Raw genomic sequence first — 25,816 nt, forward strand, 5'->3', positions numbered from 1 at the left:
CATACACACAGAGGTTTTTATATGGCTGAGCTGGGAGAAGCCAAGTAAAACACTTTTTCTTTTGTTTCTAGACTATTTAGCAAATACGAGGAAAATGACGTGGCACTGAAGAGGGGACTTAGAGAGACAGGGCCAGTGGGTGGAGGAGGAGAGGACGTGCCGGGAAAAGAATGCAGAAAGGAGATTTTTTTTGGCCACAGAGTTTTTGCTAAAAGCAGCTAGGAAGCCCCACGGCTCCAGTGTGCGTGAACTCCTGGTAATTTCCTTGGGGAATCCCGCCTCAGAGAACCTCTACCCCGAGAATTAGGAGGAAGCTGAGCTAGGTGAGTTTCCAAACGGAGGGGGTGGGTGAGTGACTAAAGGCCTGAAGACCGGCCCAGACGAGTTTCCCAGTGGGCGTCCCCTGGCTGCTCTGACAGCCACAATAGGAACTCAGTCCAGAAGAGGGGAATGCCGAGGCCAGGGACGATTCCTAGTGTTTTCCTTTGTCTCTCAGCTTCCTGTGTTTGAAATGAAGGCATCCGAGGCTCTCTGTGGCCACTCTTGTCTGGGATTCTTTCCTCAAGAGGTGTTCTTGAATTTGTGAGAACTGCCAGGAAATGGCGTGAGTCATGTCTTCTTAGCAGACAATATTCAGCTTTAGAAATTCCCAGAGATATGACTTGTTTATAGGAAAGGAAACAGGGCTATTCTGAGCTGCCAGGGGAAGAGGAAAGCGCTGCTCATTTTTTAAAATATCGTGTTGAAAGGTCATACACGCGGCCAGAGTGCCAGCAAGAGCCCGGTATAGACACTGATGTTAGCAGTTCATTTGCCTACATTTCAGGCGATATTTTTGAGCGTGGCATTTTAAAATGCGAGTTCCATGGCATTGAAATTCCACTCCCAGTCTTAAGCCCAAAGGCATGAGCAGGGTCCAAGGCGGAGTCTTGGTTGGAGGGGTGCGGCTGGGGTGTTGTTAGGCCTGGCTGAGGGGAGGGGAGGAGCATATACAAAGACACCACCTTTCTCTACTTTCTAATTTCACATTTCTTGAGCAGCCAGCTGATTTTTGTTCCCATATTCCATGCTCCTTCCTCTACTGTCTTTTCTTCATAGTGTTAACAACTGCCATGTCCATTGTCCTTACCTTAAAGGATTGTTCAAAGCGGCCAACTTTGGAAAATGTGTCCAAGGAGAGAAACTCGGGGGGATTCCTACTCCTGCAACCCTTGCTTCTGGCATTGGACCACCTTCTTGTGCAAAAAGTTTGGTCCTGAAATGTTTGAACTCGTAAAGGCACCGTTTACACATCTGTCACTGTTAGCAGAGCCAGTCAGCTGACCACAGAGATTGATTTCCAAGGAGAAAATAATCCACTGAGTATTCACTGATACAACAATAATTAGCCAATGTGATAATTTCATAGATACCACATCTGATAAAATCAACACCTTTTCCTAATTACAGAGTAAACATTTCAATAGGAATAGAAGGATGCTCCTTCAATGTGATAAAGATGCTCTTGGCTTAAAGTAAATAAAGATTATAATTAATTGGCAAACATTGAAAATCAGAAACAAACACAAAGAATGTCCTTTAGTATGATTATCACTGTTTCTGGTTTTTGTTTGTTTGTTTTTTGGGGTTTTTTTGAGACAGAGTCTCGCTGTGTCGCCCTGGCTGGAGTGCAGTGGCACAATCTCGGCTCACTGCAACCTCTGTCTTCCAGGCTCAAGCGATTCTCGTGCCTCAGCCTCCCGAGTAGCTGGGACTATCAGCTAGCATCATTATCACTTTAGATTCTCTGGTTAATGCAGTAGGTTATAAACACAAAAGGAATAAATTTTTGTGAACTAAGGTACTAAAGTACATGAAAATCACACAAGTATAAATCTGAAAAAGTCAAAAGAATTAACTAAAAGCTTTCTTTATTTTAAAAAAGAGTCATAAAGTGGCTTGGAATAAGATAAATACCTAAAAAGCAACAGTATTTCTATATACTGGCAGTAAACAGATAGATAATATAAAGCAAAAGAAAAGCTATTCAAATAGCGACAAATATAAAATATTTATAAACTCAATAAGAAATGTATTAAAAGTTTTAAAACCTTGATTGGGGGATATATTTTTAATAATTAAGAGGAAGAGTTATATTTTTATTAGATGGAAAAATTCAACATAAAGATGCCAAGGCTCCTCAAACTTACTGAAATAATTCTGTCTAAAGATCCAACGGGACGTTTCTTGAAGGTCATTAGAATGAACACTGACGAATTGCTAAGCTTAGTGCTTATCTTATTAAAAACATTCAAAACTATAAACAGGAAAACTAGCAAAATGCAAATGTTCTTAGGGATCAGCCTCGTCAGATATCAGAACCTATTGTAAAAACTGAAACTGTGTTTGATGTAAATATAAAAATATAAAGAAAAAGAAAATAATGAAATCCCCTGAAACAGACCCTGTTATATACATATGTGTCACATTTTATAGATGGCCTCATAGTTCACAAAGTTTTCCACTTGCATTATCTTTTATGCTTCAGAATCATGCTAGGAATCAAGTCGTATTATTACCCTCAGTCTTAGTTCTGAAGAAACTGACACTCAGAAGTGGCTTGACCAACATAATAAAACTAAGATAAACCCAGACTTGAACCTAGATTTTCTGACTTCTCTTACCAGGCATCTTTTCACTACATCAATCTCACAATACATTGGAGAATATACTTTTTTTAACCATACTGAAATTAGGGGAAAAAATGTTTCGACCTGCCCTTACACCATGTACTCCTGCTAACAATAAACAAACAAAATCCTGTAGTTGTTTGATGAAACATAGAGATATGACACTGAACTAGGGTCTGTGTCTGTGGTTGTCCCTCACTGAGTCCACTCACAAAGTACGAAGCTACAATGCTTCCTATTCACCTCCTCCCACCCCCACCCCCACCCTATCACCCCCATCCACCCCAGATGAATTACTTATTGTCACTAAGACGTAGCAGTGCCCAAAGTGAAATTGAAACTCTCCAGCAAATTACTGTTAAAAGAAAGTATAGTCAGTCTGTTTCTGGGGAGGGGTTGGATAATTAGAGAGCAACTAATTAGGAGCATACAGTTAAGAGTAAGGACAAACAGAAAGAAGAAAAGGAGTAAGCAACTCATACATAGTGCAGACCCACTATGTGGGAAAACCACTCATCTCTGACATTGTAGCAAAAAAGCAGCTGTCAACAATAAACATAAATGCTAGCCTTAGCTGAATGGGCACAGCTGTGTTCCAATAAAACTTTATTTCCATAACAGGCAGCAGGCAGACTATACATTGATGACTCCTGTACTAAGCAATTTAAGATAGTTTTTCCATTCAATTATCCTAAAAAAAAAACCCCTTTAGATAAGAAATCAGAGGTTACTCAACATGACCACCTGACATTAAGATGGATACAAGTATTTGCCTCAGTAAGTGGCAGAGCTGAAATCTGAACTCAGGTCTTGTGACTCCCAAGCTGGGAAGCTGGAAAGTGTGTAGTCTTCTGATAGGGCAGCCTCCTGTGACTCAGAGGTTTAACTGGATTTTATGGGTGTGAAGTCTCAGCAGGTAGAAGAGGCCTGAACAGGCTGCATCTAATGAACTAGACATGTGTTGCACTGAACCAGGCTGGGAGTACGTGGGTGATCTCTGTTGCAATCATTTAACAAAGTAGGGAGGTATAGACATGCCCATTCACCTCAGACACACCCCTCGCCTCCGAGACATCAAATCCGCTCCTCCTAACACACAGCAGGGTGCAGTTGTGGTCAGAAGTGAGTGGGAGAAGGAGGGTAGGCAGATGGGTGGCTGTTTATGGAAACCAGGAAATCCCAAAAAATAAAGTCATCTAGAGCAATTCAGGCAACTTCTTTGAGTCCAAGCTTTCCTTTCTGTGGAATAGAAATGTCTGTCCTCTTTCTTTTCTTTTTTTTTAGCAAGATGTCAGAATAATACAATAGGAAAAAAAAAAAAAACTCTGTGTAAAGTTCATTGGGCACCTCAGGGATACATGTCATTTGATGACATAGTCTCATTGTCACCTGACGCCCCATGACTTCAGCTGGCTCCAGAGTCTGCATGTAGCTTTCTGTGGGGAACTCTGCCATCTTTACATTTAACACATCTCTGCTGACAGACCAGCACTATTGAGCTGGTGCTTTGACAACCACGTCGACAAGAGACCAGGAGAGATGCCATGTAAAGGTGAAAGGACAGTGACTAAGGGGAGCAAATGAGCTTTTAAACGAGCCTGACACCATCCAGCTAGTTTTCATACTCCCTCCTGTGAAAAATCTTGACATATTGGTACATTGCTATGAGTTATTTATTTATATCGGTGTATAGTGGCCTAATATTATTTGCTCTTGCAGAGTGTTATCTAGGACTACAAACTTATTTTATTTTAAGCTCAATGACATTTCATCAACAGTTAACACAGCGTGAGTAGCTAAAAGTCACTTCAGGACAGTACATGAGGCCTCTCAGATGTTGTTGCTTTATTGCTTGACTGGATAGTTCTCTGGCTTTCTCTACTTTTGATGGTTTCTGTTTTTACCCAGCTTTGTCTGTTTTGAGCTGTATTTTTTCAGTCCATTATTACATATTATATTATTTATTTCACCACAAGATTTATTTATTATCTGCAGTAATGAAAACTAATTTGTTTCATTTGCCCATGTTAGCTATGCCTAAAAGGGAAAACAATTCTCTCTTGGTCATACAGAGAGGGGTAGAATGGAAAGGAGATGGGTACAGTCACTGAGGAGTCTCTAAGAGGATTCCATCCTGGAGAACCCCTGCTCTGGGCTTGGAGAACTGGGCTCAAACAAGGCAGGGTTCATGTCAAACCCCTGGCAAATTCTCTCAATTTGGGACTGAGTCTCTCATGGTGCCTAGACTTTGGTAATGCTTTCTGGAAACTCAGAAACTGTTGGTCCTAATCTCAATTCAGCTATTGACATTCTGGTCTTTTCTATTTAAAGCCACAAAATTGACTGTTTATTTTCTAGTCATAGTTTAATTTTGTTTTGTTTTAAGCTCTCTTAGTTGATTTCTGCCCAATCAATAAGATCAGCCACACATTTAATCTGATTCTGTCATTGAGACAGCTGAACACCCTGGCAATTCTACAGCCTACTCTGGGTAAGTTCAGTCCATATAAACTCAGCCCATTTCCAACACCTCTGTGACAGCTTTCTCATCTGTAATATGAGAAAACACTCACCTAGTTCACAGAATTGTTGGAAGAATTATATAATAAACAAGACTGTACTACATTTTTTAACTGACAACATACATTTTCTTAATAAAAAATAACATTTTTAATAAAACAATAATAATATATGTCTCCAAGAAGACGAACACTAGATTTCTCGGGTGTTCTGTGTGTTGCAGCACTTTGCTGGTGTTGACATGAATTTGTCAATCAGAACAGTTATACTCATTAATAAGAATAAACATTGACTTTTGCAGTTCTGTACTGATTATAATTTAGCCCTCTTTTAAAAAAACTATGAAAGTATTACATATAGAAAAGGGCATAAATGTTACGTGTGATGAAGTTTCATAAAATAAACACACCTGTGAAACCAACACTCAGATGAAGAAACAGAACCCCTACAGCGTCCCAGAACCAGCCCCATGTGCCCCATTCCAGGCATTTTTCCTCTAAAGAAAACTCCTTTCCTGACTTCTAACAATATAGATTAGTTCTACCAGTTTTCATAATTTTTTATACATGGAATTAAAAAATTATGTAGTATTAGTACAGATCTTTCTAAGCTTATTTAAGCTTAGTTCATAAAGAAGATATGGGTTCTAAAGCAGTCTTTCTTTTCTAGGCTGACTTGAGGAAAGAGAGCTGGAGGAGCGGGGTGAGTAGAGGAACCCTATAATTTGTTATCCAAACTGGGACACCTTTGAGAGTGAAAGAAGGTGCTATTCATAATAACAGTGGACAAAAGCCATAAGCAGTGACTGTCCCCAGCAAACCAGGACATGTGGTCACCCTGGTGAGAGGGGATGGTAGAAGATAGCAGGGACACACTGGCAGGAAAAATCTGCCTTTGGGGCCCTAAAATAGAATCCATTCCAGTTGCCCAATATGGATTCAGGACTGGGGGCTGGTAGCACACTTCTCAAAAAGTGTTGTCATTGGTAGAAAACTCAGGTCAATAAATACTTACTGGATCCCTGCTATGCGCAAGGCACTGCAATGGCACCAAGATGGTTTGAGCACTGTCCCTGCCCAAAGTAGCTCACAGTCTGATAGTGGCAATGAGACAAGTTCACAAATAGGTGAACTGTAAGGTGGCTGCCAATGGAAATGTGTGAAGTATTATGTGGATTCCAAATACAGCGTTATTTGGATTACAAGGAACAGGAGATCGTGCCCCCTGGGAGACATGGAAAAAGCAAGCACCATGGGGTAGGTAGCATTCAGCATGGTCTAGAATCTTACTTCAGTGGTCCTCAACTATGCATATTAGAATTAGCTTTTCTAACACCCAATACTCAGGCAGCACCCCAGAACAATTAAATCATAGTCTCTGGGAATAGGGCCCAGGTCTAAATATTTTAAAAGCTCGCCCAGGTAACTCCAGTGAAGAGTGAAGCCTGAGAACCACTATTCTACAAAGATGAGTAGACATTAGCTGGCAGGAAAGATGGGGCAGAGAGGAGGCCATGGAGAGAACAGCTGTGAGTTAGTATATTCCCTCTTTGGTAGGCACACAGAGAAGAGTTGCCCACTGGGAATTAAATATGGAGGAAAAGCAGCAGGGCAAAAATAATTTAACCCCCTTCAGGAAAAAAAAATTAATTAATTATGAAACCATTTGCTAAGGCTGATAACAGGGATGGATGGGGAAAAGATGCACTGAACACCAAGGGAACACAGAGTGGCAATAAATCCATCATAAATCGCACAAGCCATCAGATAACGTCTGTTCCTCACATTAGCATCCCATTAAGCTGCTATTAGTGATAGCAAGGAAACTGAATGAAACCGGCTTCCTGGGTTAGCACTAGCAGCCAGGGAGAGTTAACAAGCTGCAATCCTTCACTGGTACCTTTAAGGACCTGAGGTCCATTTGTAAAGGATGCTTAGAAACCCCAAACCTTGACCTATCACGCTCATGCTGTGGGAGTTTGTGGGGGGGCTGGAATTAATCACAGCAGGGACACAATTTACCGATCAATACCAGCCAATTAGAAGGCTCCCTGCTGCGGAGAGTTCCCTTGGAATGCCAGATGACCTTTGCCCTTGACTTTTTGTGGGGGCAGATGTTTCTTTAGCACAGCTACTGATAAGGATGGTGTTCCGAGGGGCATAGCTCATTTCACATGCCAACCGCTGCCCGGGCATCTTGGGGCTGAACTTTTTGAGCACTTAAGCATGAGCCACCTGCCAATGGAAGGTAAAGAAAGACAGGAATGGAAATTATAGCAATAATTAATTTAAAGCCATTGTGCCACTTTTTCTGTGAACTCAGCCCTGACCTTCAAGAAGCCACTGAAAAGAGCAGAAAATTAGGAAACTCAGTCTTTGCCCAGAGTTCACTATTGTGTTGCTGTCCTGTTCTGCAGCCTCCACTACCTGTCAGAGAGAGGAGATTGTAAGGCCTGGAGAACCACCTAGAGGGAAAAAGCCCAATAGCTACCACTGCTTTCCATGATCTGGCTTGGGGACTCCAGCTAGAGCCTGGGTGGGCCCCAGAAGCCCCATTCTTCCAGGACTTCTAGATAGCTGTTTGCCATTGTTGTTTACAAGTCTTGGCCAGTATTTTTTAAAATCAGTTTTCTGACATCTTTGCCACAGAGGTAATGTGCCCCAGGACACAGAAAAATAAATAAATAAACATTTATTTATTTTAAAATATTTACTTAAAAAATTAATAACTATTAGATAATTCTAGGAAGTGTTCTGAAGTTTACCATTTTTTTTGGTCACTTACTTTTTTAGTCATATTTTAAGGTAAACAATCTATTGTATACAGCCTTTCCTGGAAACTCCAGGACTTCAAGCATTTGACCTCATCCTTCTAGTTGCTTCACCTCCTCTTGCAGATTTCCATCATGGTTTCTTCGGATGCCAGTTTGGAGAATCCTTCTCAACATTTTCCCTCCTAAGTATTCCTCTGCCCCTTTCACCACAGAGAATCATGGTTTTCAAATGAAAAATAAAAACAAGTTTGGGGCTGACTTTAATAAGTACAAGACATGGGGCAAATCATACAGTGATTCCCTCCCTTTCCTTACCCTAAACCACAAACCTTTTTATTTAAGTCAAACCTGATATAAATGGTGATCAAAAATATCACTGAAGTGAAAAACAAACTTTTGGAAGATCAACAAATTTTTGGAAGGAATTGTGAGCAGATAGGAAAGGAACATCATCATCATCACAGATTTTGCCTTGGAAATGTAGACAGTGGGGAAGAGTTTTGCAAACCAATGACACATAAGTGTGTTAGCCTCGAGAATATTTAAATATTTAAATGTGCAACTTGGCAGAAGCCACCATCTTTCTATATCGCCCTGCACACCCACTAGCTCCTTAAGTCACTCTGTGTCCCTCCCCAAATGTGCAACTGTCACCCTGTCCCCTGATCTGAGGAAGGATCCTGCCCAAGTTCTTCACTTACACAGGAGAGGGCAATTGTCCACATTCCTTTCTACTCTAAATGCTTTTCAATCTCTGCTGTGTTGCAGTCTTGCCAAAAATGTTTAGCCTGAATCTTATCACGCAGGGAAAATCCACACAAATCCAGAGTGTGGGACATGGATGTGTGTGTGTGTGCCTGGTGGGGGTAGGGGGAGCACAAAGTGGCAAAATGCTAAAACAATTATTGAATCTAGTAAAGCAGAGCAGGATTCTATAATCATTTCAATTCTTTTATAGGTTCAACATTTTTCAAAATAAAAAGTTGGTAGAATAATAGGAAGCCATGAGGACCAAGAAGCTCACATTTCCAAGGCTTTCTAAGTTTCACCTTGAAGCAAGATACATCATAAAGCATTGTCTAGGTACAACTTGCACTTTCCTGTCCAAGCCTCAGACCCTGTTCTTCATCTGGGCCCACAGAGCAACAGCTTCCACTTTTGTGGCCAAAGAAAAATGCTAACCAGCTTGTAATTGCTGTAAGGAGGTATGTTTGATGGTTTACACAAAAATAATAGACATACTCAAAAAAACTCCAGATTGTAATGTAAAGTGCAAGGTCATATAGAATGTCATTAACAAACTTTCGGTGTGGCACGATGGCTCATGCCTATAATCCCAACACTTTGGGAGGCTGAGGCGGGTGGATCATTTGAGGCCGGGAGTTCGAGATCAGCCTGGCCAACATGGTGAAAGCCTGTCTCTACTACAAATACAAAAACTGGCCCAGCATTGTGGTGCATGCCTGTGGTCCCAGCTACCCAGGAAGCTGAGGCAGGAGAATCACTTGAACCTGAGACGCAGAGGTTGCAGTGAGCTGAGATGGTGCCACTGCACTCCAGCCTGGATAACACAGTGAGACTCCGTCTCAAAAAAAATAACTTTCCATTTTTTAATTTTAAAATTCTTATATTATTGTTACTTTTCAAAAGTTTATTCAAACAAGTAAAAACACACCTCTGCCAGTAAGTGAGAACACAAAGGTGCACCTCTTGCTGATGCAGCACTTGATGTATTGCATTTCATGGCCCATGGATTAACTATGATACTCAAAAAATATGTTTCTACACTGATATTTGACACTGGAAATGAAACAGATTATTAAAAACAGTTTTCAGATTTTCCCGGGCAAGATGGCCGAATAGGAACAGCTCCGGTCTGCAGCTCCCAGCAAGACCAATGCAGAAGGGGGGTGATTTCTGCATTTCCAACTGAGGTACCCGGCTCATCTCACTGGGACTGGTTAGACAGTGGGTGCATCCCACAGAGGGAGCTGAAGCAGGGTGGGTGTTCCGTCACCCAGGAAGTGCAAGGGGTCAGGGAACTCCCTCCCCTAGCCAAGGGAAGCTGTGAGGGACTGTGCCATGAGGGACAGAGCTATCCAGCCCAGATACTATGCTTTTCCCACTGTCTTCGCAACTTGCAGACCAGGAGATTTCCTCAGTGCCTACACCACCAGGACCCGGGATTTCAAGCACAAAGCTGAGTGGTCATTTGGGCAGACACGGAGCTAGTTGCAGGAGTTTTTTTTCATACCCCAGTGGTGCCTGGAATGCCAGCGAGACAGAACCATTCATTCACCTGTAGAGGGGCTAAAGCCAGGAAGCCAAGTGGTCTTGCTCAGCAGATCCCACCCCCACGGAGCACAACAAGCTAAGATCCACTGGCTTGAAATTCTCACTGCCAGCACAGCAGTCTGAAGTCAACCTGGGGTGCTAGAGCTTGGTGGGGGGAGGGTCATCCGCCATTACTGAGTCATGAGAAGGTGATTTTCCCCTCACAGTGTAAACAAAGCCACCATGAAGTTCGAACTGGGCAGAGCCCACCACAGCTTGGGAAAGCCCCTGTAGCCAGACTGCCTCTCTACATTCCTCCTCTCTGGGCAGGGCATCTGTGAAAGAAAGGCAGCAGCCCCAGTCAGGGGCTTATGGATGAAACTCCCATCTCCCTGGGACAGAGCACCTGGGGGAAAGGGCGGCTGTGGGTGCAGCCTCAACAGACTTAAACGTTCCTGCCTGCCAGCTCCTTGGATCTCCCAACACAGCGCTCAAGCTCTACTAAGGGACAGACTGCCTCCTCAAGTGGATCCCTGACCCCCGTGCCTCCTGACTGGGAGACACCTCCCAGCAGGGGTCGACAGACACCACATACAGGAGAGCTCCAGCAGGCATCTGGCGCATTCCCCTCTGGGACGAAGCTTCCAGAGGAAGGAACAGATAGCAATCTTTGCTGTTCTGCAGCCTCCGCTGAATGATACCAAGGCAAACAAGGTCTAGAGTGGACCTCCAGCAAACTCCAGTAGACCTGCAGAAGAGAGGCCTGACTGTTAGAAGGAAAACCAACACACAGAAAGCAATAGCATCCACATCAACAAAAAAGACGACCACACAAAAACCCCATCCGAAGGTCACCAACATCAAAGACCAAAGGTACACAAATCCACAAAGATTAGGAAAAAAACGTGAAAAGGGCTGAAAATTCCAAAAACCAGAATGCTTCCTCTTCTCCAAGGATCACAACTCCTCGCTAGCAAGGGAACAAAACAAGACGGATAATAAGATTGATGAATTGACTCAAGTAGGCTTCAGAAGGAGGTAATAACAAACTCCTCCAAGCTAAAGGAGCATCTTCTAACCCAATGCAAGGAAGCTAAGAACCTTGGTAAAAGGTTACAGGAACTGCTAACTAGAATAACCAGCTTAGAGAAGAACATAACTGACCTGATGGAGCTGAAAAACAGAGTACAAGAACTTCATGCAGCATACACAAGTATCAATAGCTGAATGAATTAAGCAGAAGAAAGGATATCAGACATTGAAGATTAACTTAATGAAATAAAGTGTGAAGGCAAGATTAGAGAAAAAAGAATGAAAAGGAATGAAAAAAGCCTCCAAGAAATATGGGACTATGTGAACAGACCAAACCTACGTTTGATTGGTGTACCTGAAAGTGATGGCAGAATGGAACCAAGTTGGAAAACACACTTCAGGATATTATCCAGGAGAACTCCCCCAACCTAGCAAGACAGGCCAACATTCAAATTCAGGAAATACAGAGAACACCACAAAGATACTCCTCGAGAAGAGCAACCCAAAGACACATAATCGTCAGATTCACCAAGTTGAAATGAAGGAAAAAATGTTAAGGGCAGCCAGAGAGAAAGGTTGGGTTAGCCACAAAGGGAAGCCCACCAGACTAACAGCGGATCTCTCTGCAGAAACACTACAGGCCAGAAGAGAATGGGGGCCAACATTCAACAATCTTAAAGAATGTTCAACCCAGAATTTCATATCCAGCCAAACTAAGTTTTATAAGTGAAGGAGAAATAAAATCCTCATAGACAAGCAAATGCTGAGGGATTTTGTCACCACCAGGCCTGCCTTACAAGAGCTCCTAAAGGAAGGACTAAATATGGAAAGGAAAAACCAGTACCAGCCACTGCAAAAACATACCAAAATGTAAAGACCATCGACACTATGAAGAAACTGCATCAGCTAATGGGCAAAATAACCAGCTAGCATCATAATGACAGGATCAAATTCACACATAACAATATTAACCTTAAATGTAAACAGTCTAAATGCCCCAATTAAAAGACACAGACTCACAAATTGGATAAAGAGTCAAGACCCATCATGTGCTGTATTCAGAAGACCCATCTCACATGCATAGACACACATAGGCCCAAAATAAAGGGATGAAGGAAGATTTACCAAGCAAATGGAAAGCAAAAAAAAAAAGGAGGGGTTGCAATCCTAGACTCTGGTAAAACAGACTTTAAACCAACAAAGATAAAAAAAGACAAAGAAAGCCATTACATAATGGTAAAGGGATCAATGTAACAAGAAGAACTAACTATCCTAAATATATATGCACCCAATACAGAAGCACCCAGATTCATAAAGCAAGTTCTTGGAGACCTACAAAGAGATTTAGACTCCCACACAATAATAGTGGGAGACTTTAACACCCCACTGTCAATATTAGATAGATCAATGAGACAGAAAATTAACAAGGATATTCAGGGCTTGAACTCAGCTCTGGACCAACCAGAGCTAATAGACATCTACAGAACTCTCCACCCCAAATCAACAGAATATACATTCTTCTTAGCACCACATCACACTTATTCTAAAATTGACCACATAATTGGAAGTAAAACACTCCTCAGCAAATATAAAAGAATAGAAATTATAACAAACAGTCTCTCAGACCACAGGGCAATCAAATTAGAATTCAGGATTAAGAAACACACTCAAAACTGCATGACTACATGGAAACTGAACAACTTGCTCCTGAATGACTACTGGGTAAATAATGAAATTAAGGCAGAAAGAATGAGTTCTTTGAAACCAATGAGAACAAAGACACAACATACCAGAATCTCTGGGACACAGCTAAAGCAGTGTTTAGAGGAAAATTTATAGCACTAAATGCCCATAGGAGAAAGCGAGAAAGATCTAAAATTGACACCCTAACATCACAATTAAAAGAACTACAGAAGCAAGAGCAAACAAATTCTAAAGCTAGCAGAAGACAAGAAATATCTAAGGTCAGAGCAGAACTGAAGGAGATAGAGATATACAAAAAAAATTTTTTCAAAAAAATCAATGAATCCAGGAGCTGGTTTTCGGAAAAGATTAACAAAATAGATAGACCACTAGCCAGACTAATAAAGAAGAAAAGAGAGAAGAATCAAATAGGCACAATAAAAAATGATAAAGGGGATATCAACACTGATCCCACAGAAATACAAGCTACCATCAGAGAATACTATAAACACCTCTATGCAAATAAACTGTACAATCTAGAAGAAATGGATAAATTGCTGGACACATACACTGTCCCAAGACTAAACCAGGAAGAAGTCGAATCCCTGAATAGATCAATAACAAGTTCTAAAATTGAGGCAATAATTAATAGCCTACCAACCAAAGAAAGCCCAGGACCAGACAGATTCATAGCCAAATTCTACCAGAGGTACAAACAGGAGCTGGTACCATTCCTTTTAAAACTATTCCAAACAGTAGAAAAAGGAGGAAGCCTCCCTAACACATTTTATGAGGCCAGCATCATCCTGATACTGAAACCTGGCAGAGACACACACAAAAAAAAGAAAATTTCAGGCCAATATCCTTGATGAACATCAACGCGAAAATCCTCGATAAAATAATGGCAAACTGAATCCAGCAGCACATTAATCCACCACGATCAAGCCGGCTTCATCCCTGGGATGCAAGGATGGTTCAACATATGCAAACCAATAAATGTAATCCATCATATAAACAGAACCAATGACAAAAACCACATGATTATCTCAATAGATGCAGAAAAGCCTTTGATAAAATTCAACACCTCCTAAAAACACTCAATAAACTAGGTCTTGATGGAATTAATCTCAAAATAATAAGAGCTATTTATGACAAACCCACAGCCAATATCATACTGAATGGGCAAAAGCTGGAACCTTTTGAAAAGCAGCACAAGACAAGGTTGTCCTCTCTCACCACTCCTATTCAACATAGTATTGGAAGTTCTGGCCAGGCAATCAGGCAAGAGAAAGAAATAAAGGGTATTCAAATAGGAAGAGAGAAAGTCAAATTGTCTCTGTTTGCAAATGACATGATTTATATTTAGAAAACCCATCATCTCAGCCCCAAAACTCCTTAAGCTGATAAGCAACTTCAGCAAAGTCTCAGGATACAAAATTAATGTGCAAAAATCACAAGCATTCCTATACACCAATAATAGACAAATGGACAGCCAAATCATGAGTGAACTCCCATTCACAATTGCTACAAAGAGAATAAAATACCTAGGAATACAACTTATACGGGATGTGAAGGACCTCTTCAAGGAGAACTACAAACCACTGCTCAAAAAAATAAGAGAGGGCACAAACAAATGGAGAAACATTCCATGCTCATGGATAGGAAGAATCAATAATATGAAAATGGCCATACTGCCCAAAGTAATTTATAGATTCAATGCTATTCCCATCAAGCTACTATTAACTTTCTTCACAGAATTAGAAAAGACTACCTTAAATTTCATATGGAACCGAAAAAGAGCCCATATAGCCAAGACAATCCTAAGCAAAAAGAATAAAGCTGGAAACATCACACTACCTGGCTTCAAACTATATTACAAGCCTACAGTAACCAAAACAGCTTGGTCCTAGTATCAAAATAGATATATAGACCAATGGAACAGAACAGAGGCCTCAGAAATAACACCACACATGTACAACCATCTGATCTTTGACGAACCTGACAAAAACAAGCAATGGGGAAAGGATTCCCTATTTAATAAACGGTGTTAGGAAAACTGGCTAGTCATATGCAGAAAACTGAAATTGGACCCCTTCTTTTTACCTTATACAAAAATTAACTCAAGATGGATTAAAGATTTAAACATAAGACCTAAAACCATAAAAATCCTACAAGAAAACCTAGGCAATACCATTCAGAGCATAGGCATGGGCAAGGACTTCATGTCTAAAACACCAAAAGCAATGGCAACAAAAGCCAAAATTGACAAATGGGATTTAATCGAACTAAAGAGCTTCTGCACAGCTGTTCAGAGTGAACAGGCAACCTACAGAATGGGAGAAAATTTTTGCAAGCCATCCATCTGACAAAGGGCTACAAGGAACTTAAACAAATTTACAAGAAAAAAACAAACAACTCCATCAAAAAGCAGGCAAAGGATATGAACAGACACTTTCCAAAAGAAGACATTTATGCGGCCAACAAACATATGAAGAAAAGCTCATCATCACTGGTCATCAGAGAAATGCAAACCAAAACCACAATGAGATACCATCTCACACCAGTTAGAATGGCGATCATTAAAAAGTCAGGAAGCAACAGATGCTGGAGAGGATGTGGAGAAATAGGAACGCTTTTACACCGTTGGTGGGAGTGTAAATTAGTTCAACCATTGTGGAAGACAGTGTGGCGATTCCTCAAGGATCTAGATCTAGAACTAGAAATACCATTTGACCCAGCAATCCCATTACTGACTATATACCCAAAGGATTATAAATCATTCTACTATAAAGACATATGCACACATATGTTTATTGCAGCACTATTCACAATAGCAAAGACTTGGAACCAACCCAAATGCCCAGCAGTGATAGACTGGATAAAGAAAATGTGGCACATATATACCATGGAATATTATGCAGCTATAAAAAAGGATAAGTTTGTGTCCTTTGCAGGGACATGGATGAAGCTGGAAACCATCATTCTCAGCAAACTAACACAGAAACAGAAAACCAAACACCGCATGTTCTCACTCATAAGTGGGAGTTGAACAATAAGAACATATGGGCACAGGGAGGGGAACATCACACACTGGGGCCTGTCAGCAGGTTGGGGGCAAGGGGAGGGATACCATTAGGAGAATTACCTAATGTAGATGACAGGTTGATGGGTGCAGCCAACCACCATGGCACATGCATACCTATGTAACAAACCTGCACATTCTGCACATGTATCCCAGAACTTAAAGTATAATAATAATAAAAAAACAGTTTTCAACAAATTTAGAGGTTCTTTATGGAAAACTAAGTTTCCTTATTTAGGAAATAATCCTTTGAGGGAAAAATAATACCATGTTCAAAGGATCAACTTCCTCAGGAAGAGAATTTAGAGAAAGTTCTTCTTTCCATATAACAAATCCATGTTTAAATTGCTTTATCAAAAGACAAAGTTCTCACAATTGACTGAATCAAAGCACTCAGATGACAAAATGGCAAATTTTCAGGAGGAAGCCACTCCTCTAGACATGGGAGAATCTCAGAAATAATTGTATTAACCACATTAACTAGTACTAGGTTTTCTGCAATGTTCATGACACCAAAAATGAATAGTCAACTTATTTCTGTCTAAGACAGTTTAGACTAAATTACTTTTTAAGTTTCTTGATTTAACGTGACCAAATATATATATACACATATAAATACACACACACACATATGTAGCATGGTATATGGCATGCTTCTAAATGCAAATTACTCACTTTACCACTGTAAGGAAGAAAGGGTAACACCTTTTCCTCACCCATCACAAGAGTCATGGCCAACAGTCCTATGACAGAAGACAAGTTAGCATGAAAAAAGCACAACAAATTTATTTAGCAAAGTTTTACTTGACACAGGAGCCTTCAGAAATGAAGACCTGAAGACCCAGGAAAATTTTGTACTTGTATGCTAAGTCTGATGAAAGAAGTAAATAGTTATGGAGAAACATGGTTAGAAAGATCTGACCTACTGGTAATCAACTGAGAAGGGAACCTAGGAAGGCCTGTTTGCTCAGATTCTTCTTGGCCTCTATGTAGCATACCTTCTCCCTGAGTATGGGGCACGTCACCCTGGGATGAGAGCCTTATGTCCTACTTTCAAGCAAGGTAGGTTGGAGAATTCTTTTATGACCATGCTTCACACAGAAAGGCAGGGTAAGGTCACAGTGACCTTCTTATTTCTGAGGCCCTCCCAATCTCCTGCAGTTCCAAGTACTTTGGGGTAACATTTTCAAGGCCCCAGTGCCACACTGTTTACCACTTTTGTGCCCAAAGAAAGATACTAATCAACCTATAATTTCTGTAGTATGTTTGATGAGATCAAAAAACAATGGATATGCTTCATAAAACATCATATTCTAATGTAAGTATGATAGCAGTTTTATATATTTACTATAAATATATAACATTTTATTGTATATTTACATTTATTTTACTAATTTATTTGGCATTTGTTTGTTTGTCTTTGTTGTGGTTGTTTTTTCTTTAAGATGGAGTTTCACTTACATCCAGGCTGGAATGCAGTGGCGTGATCTTGGCTCACTGGAACCTCCACCTCCTGGGTTCAAGCAATTCTCGTGCTTCAGCCTCCCGAGTAGCTGGGATTATAGGTACGCTCTTTCATGCCCAGCTAATTTTTGTATTTGTAGTACAGATGGGGTTTTGCCATGTTGGCCAGGCTGGTCTTGAACTCCTGGCCTCAAGTGATCTGCCTGCCTCAGCCTCCCAAAGTGCTGGGATTACAGGTGTGAGCCACCATGCCCAACCTCATTTATTTATTCGTGTGTGTGTGTGTGTGTGTGTGTGTGTGTGTGTGTGTATAACTGCCTAATAGCTTATACCTTAAGAGAGCCTTAAATAGTATAAGAAAGAAAAGATAAACAAAGGGCAAGACTGTCACATCTGTGTGGCTACAAAAGGAAAATATTCCTTACACAGCATATTTCCTACATGATTGACAAAGCTAGCAATCTGCATTCAAAAGCATGTAGCCCATGTACCACAGGCTACATACAGGCTCTCAGGCTAATGATCAGAATAACAATTATGAGTAACTTTTCCCGAATGCTTACTAAGTGCCAGGCACTACACTAAGTGTTGTTTTGTTTTGTTTTGTTTTTGAGACAGAGTCTCACTGTGTCACCCAGGCTGGAGTGCAGTGGTGAGATCTTGGATCACTGCAACCTCCTCCCAGGTTCAAGCGATTCTCCTGCCTCAGCCACCCAAGTAGCTGGGATTACAGGCGTGTACCACCATGCCCAGCTACTTTTTGTGTTTTTAGTAGAGACCGGGTTTCACTATGTTGGCCAGGATGGTCTAAAACTCCTGACCTAAGGTGATCCACCTGCCTCAGCCTCCCAAAGTGCTGGGATGACAGGCATGAGCCACTGTGCCCGGCCTTACACTAAGTGTTTTGCATAATGTTATATGCCTTGTTTAATCCTCATTTTTCGAAGGAGGCTCCTGAGACTCACAGAAGTGAGCTGCACAGAGTCATGTGATTGATAAGTGGTTAAGCTGAGGTTCAAATACAGGCCACTGAATTTCAAACTAAAAACCCACAATCATTCCAGGCACCACCTTAAAGTTCTACTTATAAGGGGCCAGCGAGTGGCACACGGCCCAGGACGAAAAAGTGAGTGAGGATATTCAAACACAAGTCACATCACGACATGGCAAAAACAGAAAAACTTTGATGTTCTCCATCTGTTCTTCAGACAGAGAGCTCAAACATAAGAGAGTAGGGCTCAACTTTAAGACAGAAACTGCCCAGCACCATCTGCAGGTGGATTGCATTGTTTGGGGAGGCAGTCACATGACCCAGATCTGCTTCCTGCCTCTGCTTGCAGAAGTCTAACACTCTGAGGGCTAACACCAATCCTGCTTGCAGGATTCTAACACTCTGAGGCTCCGAGGTTGTTAAAGTCCCTGTCTCCCACACTACCAACCCCACTGTCAGCTTGACCATGAGTGAATGCCTTCACCAATGTATAGAAAGGACCTTGCTAATAGGAAAAAAGATGAGCCTGGAGCCTAAACAGGAAGGCTTTCTCTTCCACGGATTGGAAGCACCGCTAAAGAAGCTGGCTGACTTGTGAGGTTCGGGGATAACGAAGTATGAATGTACAGCTCCGGGTACTGTGCTTGGAGCATATGAAACATGCAACACATGACTAGTGTTGTTATACAGTTTTCATTCCCACAGTCTCTAACAAAATATAGTCATACGTCTTTTTTTAAAAAGACGTGTTGGATTCTAGTGCTGAGAAGAAGAGAAGCTACCACTAATATAGCATGAGAGAGTGGCAGACAGAGAGATCCCTGGGGACCCACATTTTTCAGGGAGAAACCCCAATTCTTTCTGCCCTTCAAGCAGTGGCACACAGCAGAAAGTGAAATCATTCATTGGACAGCTTGATTGGAAACTGTGATTTATATTACAGGGATCTTTTTGCCACAATAGCCTAATCTAAATCAGGCCATTATTTCATACAAGCCATTATTTCATAAAGTTTTACATTTTAACCTGTAACTCAGGTACCAAGTTTCCTCAAGCTACACATTCCCACTCATCAACAATATCATTGGTTTGACATTATACATACAAAAAGAGCAATTTTTTAAGAAAAACAGTTATAAGCTGATACATCATTTTCAACACACCCTATATATAAAGTTGCTGTGTTTCAGAGGTTATTTGGATTATTTTAATCTATTGAAAAAAAAAGCTAACACGACACTTTTGGACAGTTCAGCCTCCTTTTTCTTTGCTTTGATGGTGTTCTTTTCTCCTTTTCTCCCTCTAGTTTTTATCTCTGTTCAAAAGCAAGATTTTAAATCCTGTAAGTAGAAATTGGAACAACTTCTGGGCTTTGCACAGCACCTAGCTAGTTCTTCAGGATATTCTTTGTTCTATTTTTTAACATACATTTTTAAAGGTAATAATAAACTAAACTTTGACCTTTAAAATCTTCAAATAAATCAATCAGCAGAGAAATAACTAGGTAAAGAGCAGAATGGAAAACAATCAAACAAGGCTGGAAAGTCATAGAAAATTCCTAAAATTGTGTGTTTGTATGTGTGTGTGTGTGTGTGTGCATGTTGTTGTTCTTATTGTTCATTTGTATATGTGTGATTTGAGCAACATTTGAGAAAAAAAAAATAAGAAAATGAGGAAACTGGTAGTTGCTTTTGAAGTCATTTTATAAGGCAAATATTTGTAAAGCAAAGGAAAAGAGAAAGGGGTCGTGCAATCAGTGCCATTCCCTGAGCCCCTGCCTGCACCAGTCAGCTCTAGCCTCTGCAGGGCCCTTGTCTGGGCATTGTCCCTTGGGCTCTTTGTTCTTAGTTGCCAGGAGAAAGTGGTCATTGTTTCTCTACTTCTCTTCCTCTTTTTGTTTTTTATTTTTTTCTTCTTCTTCTCTTCCATCTCCTCATCTTTTTCCCTATTCTCCTTCCTTTGCTTTTAAATCCAGTTTGGTATAGAGGTCCTTTCTTGATTTACTTACAACCATGTTTCTTCTCCTGGTACAGATAACTTTCTTTGAACAAAGTATGACCTGTGAATCAAAACTCCTGCTACCAAAGTCCCATGTTGTACCACACTAAAACCTACAATGTCCTCCCTGAAGTTGTTTTCATGGCTCAACGAACATAAGAGCCAAGTCAAAGCCAGACATAAGATGAGTTCATATTTGAGGCTAAGGGAAAATTACTTCTGGGGGAAGTAATGTTTTGGCTTAAATTCACATGAAATATAAATGACTAATATCAAATATTTTGCTGAAGCAGAGATTGATGGAGAAAAGGATGAAGATAGAAAAGGGTGTCAAGCCCTTTAAAAGAAAGGGAGCTCTCAGTAGATGAGAGAAAATTATGCAGAAAACGTAGGCTAGTTCACTGAAGGCCAACTGGGTATGGAGTTCCACTTTGCCTTGAACTTGCTCTACCCTTCAATGTCAGGGTTATGTAAAAGTGTCCAGTTATGGTCATTCAGAATCAGACAGAGCATAAACACCTCTCTCAGAAGAACGGGAAGTGTCTACAGAGCATCATAGAATGCCAGACAGTCTAATGGTCTAATTCAGCCTCACAAAAATGTGGCTTCACTGTCCTACTCTAGGCGGCTATCTGAACTTTTCAGATTAATAATAAGAGCTAAGGAAGTTATTCCATACAGTCTGTGATTGAATCTGTAGTAGAGTTTGTCTGAATTGGCTCGACATCCTTATGAGTTACCTCCCTGTTGACCAAGAAGTCCACAGGCCCACCATCAAAATGCTCACTCACTTTGCCTCTCTCCCTCCCACTTTCTCCTTCCCTCTCTCTCTCTCTCCCCGCCTGCCACCCCACAACATACACCTTAGGTTTGGGTCAGCCAACAACTCGTAACCCCAGCGCAGCTCCTGAAGCCCCAGACAACTACCTTCTCACCTAGGAACTTAGGCAAAGCTGGAATTTCCAAGTTTGTCACAAGACAGTTTGTTGGGTGCATCCCACCCCGTTGCTCCCCTAGCGAATTGCATTTCTCTGTGATGACTTTACTCTTATGGACCTTCTACATTCTCAGGAATTTAATGGCCCTAATTTGCACTAGACCCATCTAACTCCAAAAGTCCATGGCAAGAAGCAATTTGTCATTTGCTGAGAACTCTCTCTAATGTTGCATTTTCTAGGGAAGAAGGTTGGTTGGTTTGTACAATCAAAATTTCTTACTGAGGCTTAGTTGCCTCTTCTAAAATTTTGCTTCCATGGCTATGTTATGGCATTATTCTCAAGGGATTACAAAAGGTCTCCTTATATGCATTTCCTTCAGGAATGTCAATAATCTACTATAGATTTTCTATAAATAATAATAGCCTCACTTTTTGAATGCTTACTATGGATCAGGCACTATACATTTGTCAGATCATTTATGGTCAAAAAAATCCTGTAGCCAGTCCAACTACTATTCCCATTTTACAAATGGTAAAATTGAGACTCAGTGAGCTTGAGATGCTAATTAGTGGAGACATTCTAGGGTATAAACTCAGGCAGTCTAACTTTAGAAGCCTATGAGCTTAAACACTACACTATCATGCCCCATATGTGCTTCTAGCCACTATATAATGCCACTACATAAATCTTTTACAAAAGACTGGGAGCTCCTCCCATGTAATATGTGTGCAGATTTACTCAACTTTACATTCCCGTAGGGCCTGGCATGTAGGAAGATGGCCTGCATAAAAGCCATAAGATGGCCAGGAGAGAAACATGAAGTCTCCCTGGTTGGTACACAGAACATTCTCCCACACCTTCCTATTATATGATCTGTGTTCATGGCTAGCAACAGTGCCCTAGGAAACATAAGCTAAACAAGACCCTGCAGTGTCACTTGGAATAAATGAAAGTTCCTTTCTTCATCTCTGGACTTTACAATGGGGCAGTTCCCAAACTTCCCAAACAGAATTGCTGTCTCAGCACATTTTCCCCAAGCCCACACTCTAACTTCTTAAAGAGAACCAGGCTTGAGGCAGAAATGAGAGCTCTCCTTTCTTGACTCCCCTAAATCCCTATCCTTGCAGTCTGTTCTGGCTCCAAACGTGAGCAGTGCTCACTCTGGCCATTTCTGAGGCCCAGGTGAATTTTACCCACAAAGGAAACGATTGTGTTACCCCATCCATATCAGTAAGGGTGATCTATGTTGTTATTCAGTTGGCTACTTCTGGCGATGGCGCTTTTAAACGTGACTAGCACCCCTTTAGATAATTTCAAATGTATTTGGAATGTAACATAACAGAACACATTGTGTAAAACTGTGCATAGCAAAACCATTTCTCCAACAGCGATTTCAGTGGACCAGAGTCTGCTTCTTTCAGAAGCCCCCTGGATGCCTTAAGAATATTTGTCTCATTATCCCCATTATTTTCCCCTCCAGGGAACCGTCCCTAATAAACTTTGCTATGTCTCTTGTCCTGGCTAGTTTTAGTATGAGCCAGGGGAAAGATTTCAGAAAAGCAAGAGTTCTTTTCTGCCTGGGCTTGCAAAATTGTCTTTTGCTGCAGATGCATCTGTTAGTAATGATTGAGACAATCTGTGCAGCATAAGAGAACTTGTTGAGAGATGACTCTAAAAAGATCCTCTTCCAATAAATGTTTAACTTCTTAGTACCTTTTCATGACAGCAGGATCATGAATTTAACGTCCCCAGAAGATGAGATGATGTCTTCTCACTTGGCATGACCATCTTAAAGTAATGCTTATACCTTGGAACCAGAGGTCCTTGAGAACTTCAGGGGCCCCAAAACTATAAATATTACCCGAAAGGATACTTCAGGTTCAAGTACCATTCCCAAGTTCTGGCCCTCTCTGATAAGCTCAGGATAATTGAATTTAGTAAAGATGATCATTGAGAGGACTGGAATCCCTCAGCCTTCTTCACGTGGCCAAGAAGACCTCAAGTCTAAAATCAAATTTTCAGGAGGCTGAGAACATCAGAAAACTATTAGTTCTCTAACCCACTTCTTCTCTTATCATCTTTTTGCCTCTGTCTGGAAATGAAATCAGCATGGTTTCCATCCAGAGATTTAGAGTAGTCTGGGTATAATACCAGGCCCAATGGGCCCAAGAGAAAACCGGAGTCATCTTCGGGTATCCCATTTCCCTCGTAGCTTTATTTGTCAACACAACACATTAGCTGATAAGGTAAGTTCACTCTACTCAAGCAGGGATTACAGACTCTGAGGAGTACAAGGTGACATGCAGGAGGACAAGAAGCACAGGAAAACCCATGGTACATTTTCCTGGAGTGCCAATAGAAGAGGAAATGGCACTATTTTTGGAGCATTACAAACTAGAGTAAAACGCAAACTTGTAGTAAAACGCAAAATTCATGGACTTTCAAAATAAAACTTAAAACTGCAAATACATTTTGAGTTTGAGGCATGAGCTTCCCACTCCTTGCCTAGATCTCAGGGGGACACAATGTTTGTTTTCCTCCTCCATTAGGGGTGCTTTGATGGGTATTTGAGAAAAACTGTCCATATGTACCTCTCCCAGGGCTATTGACATTTTAACAAGGTACTCGTATTGAAAAAAAAAAAAACTGTTACAAAAAAAAAAAAAACAGAATTAAAGAAAAAGTAAAAAATGAAAGAAGTGTTTACAGGAGTCTTCATATAGTTATGGCATTACAGTTGGCTCCTCATATCTACGGGTTTGCATCTTCAGACTCAACCATGGATTGAAAATATTCCAAAAAATTAAACAAAATTAAAAAAAACAATAAAAATTACAAATTTAAAACAATATTGTATAACAACTATTTACATAGCATTTACATTATATTCAGTATTATAAGCAATCTGAAGATGATTTAAAGTAGACAGGGGGATGCATGTAGGTTATAGGCAAATACTACACCATTTTATATAAGGGACGTGGGCATCCATGGATTTTGGTACCTGTGGGGGTCCTGGAACCTACAACTATGACAGTAGTCCTCAATACACCTCATTTTATTTAAAGGTAGAATCTGAGGTCCAGAAAGGTTTGGTAATTTGTCCAACATCACATAACCCTAGGTGGCAAAGCCAAGACGCAATGAGCAGAAATAGTGAAGTAAGAAGGGCCTTGGCTAGCCCCCTCACATCATTGCCCACAGACAGCCATCTGCTCCACCCCGTGAAAGGGCCACTGGATCTGCCCCCAGATGCTGTGTCGCTGCAGCTTTCCGGGCCTGTCCTGTGGAGGATGCTTCCCACCGCACCAACAGCACAACAGCAGCCTCCCAGACCCAGGAAGGGAGAGTCAGCTTAAGGTTATTCTCTCAGCATACATCTCTGTTGAACTTCAGTGATCCCTCCAGCCTGGCTGGGGATAGTTTTGTCGAGACAGACATGTTACTCTTCGCCAATAGAAAGGAGGTCCTTGAAGGGATTGTATGGAAATTAGAAAAATGAGCGACCTGAGGATGCACGACTATTTTGGTCCTAATCTCTCGTTCTCTCTGTGTGTCTCGCTCAGAGCCTGATTCCCAAATCTACCACTCTGTTTCTTCCTCAGTTTCTATTTATTTCTGTCGCTGTTTGTTTTCTTTCTACTCTCTTCCCCCCTCTTCTTCTTATATTTTCTCTTTATTTGATTTGAAAAAATTATCATTTGTAACAAGCCTGAGGCTATAAGCATCACAATATGTAATTAAAATACGTAAAGCAAGTGACAGCTTTAGTACATTGCTTGGAGTTTTGTTGCATATTTATTAATATGTCTGCAATTTAATTGGAAGGATTTCAGCCTAGTCTGTCAGATATGCTTATATGCTAGTCTAGGCTTCCACTCCAGGAGAAGTCAGTCACCTTAATGGAAAACCCATACTTCTGGGGTGCTCTGTTGGCAAGATATCAGAATGGATGCCCCTAGAAGCAGCTACTAAAAAATGCTGCTTCTTTCTATATTTCAATCAGCACCCAATATTTTGTTAATTAGCATAGTGAATTTTAGAACTATTAAAAGGGGCTACTTATTCAATAAATCAATGACTTTCTAATTGGCATATTACAGGATTTTTCACATATTTATTATACTCCTTAAATACCCTATTTTATAGCAGTGGATTCTGAGGTTCAAGAATGTTAGAAATGGGCTTTGTTGGTAAAACTGTGTTCAAGATATATATATATATATATACACTAAAATATTTAAGACACTCTCCCCACCCGTGCTTAAACAGGGTATCAGAATCTAGCCAGGCCTATGGACGATCTCTTTTGAGATGATGCACAGAGCTTGTTTTCTGAATGGCCCCACGTCCAGCCATTAGCCAGGAGGATCTCTGGTTGCCTGAACTGCA

The 25,816-nt window shown here is 40.9% G+C and overlaps 1 long non-coding RNA gene across 1 annotated transcript, besides 1 other annotated feature; it reads left to right on the plus strand.

Moving 5' to 3' along the window:
• Window positions 1-24,160, plus strand: LOC105373851 (uncharacterized). The gene is made up of 4 exons (XR_923809.3): window positions 1-323; window positions 5,859-5,891; window positions 8,921-9,167; window positions 17,479-24,160. It is a non-coding gene; the product is annotated as an uncharacterized LOC105373851 (long non-coding RNA).
• Window positions 214-623: an enhancer, noted in NCBI's record as "active region_17035". NCBI's record gives its function as "activates an Ori minimal core promoter by ATAC-STARR-seq in GM12878 lymphoblastoid cells {active_cell/tissue: GM12878}" and the evidence as "EXISTENCE:reporter gene assay evidence [ECO:0000049][PMID:35858748]".
• Window positions 24,161-25,816: the final 1,656 nt, after the last annotated feature.

This window comes from Homo sapiens, chromosome 2 (assembly GCF_000001405.40).
Source record: "Homo sapiens chromosome 2, GRCh38.p14 Primary Assembly".
Taxonomy (NCBI): domain Eukaryota; kingdom Metazoa; phylum Chordata; class Mammalia; order Primates; family Hominidae; genus Homo; species Homo sapiens.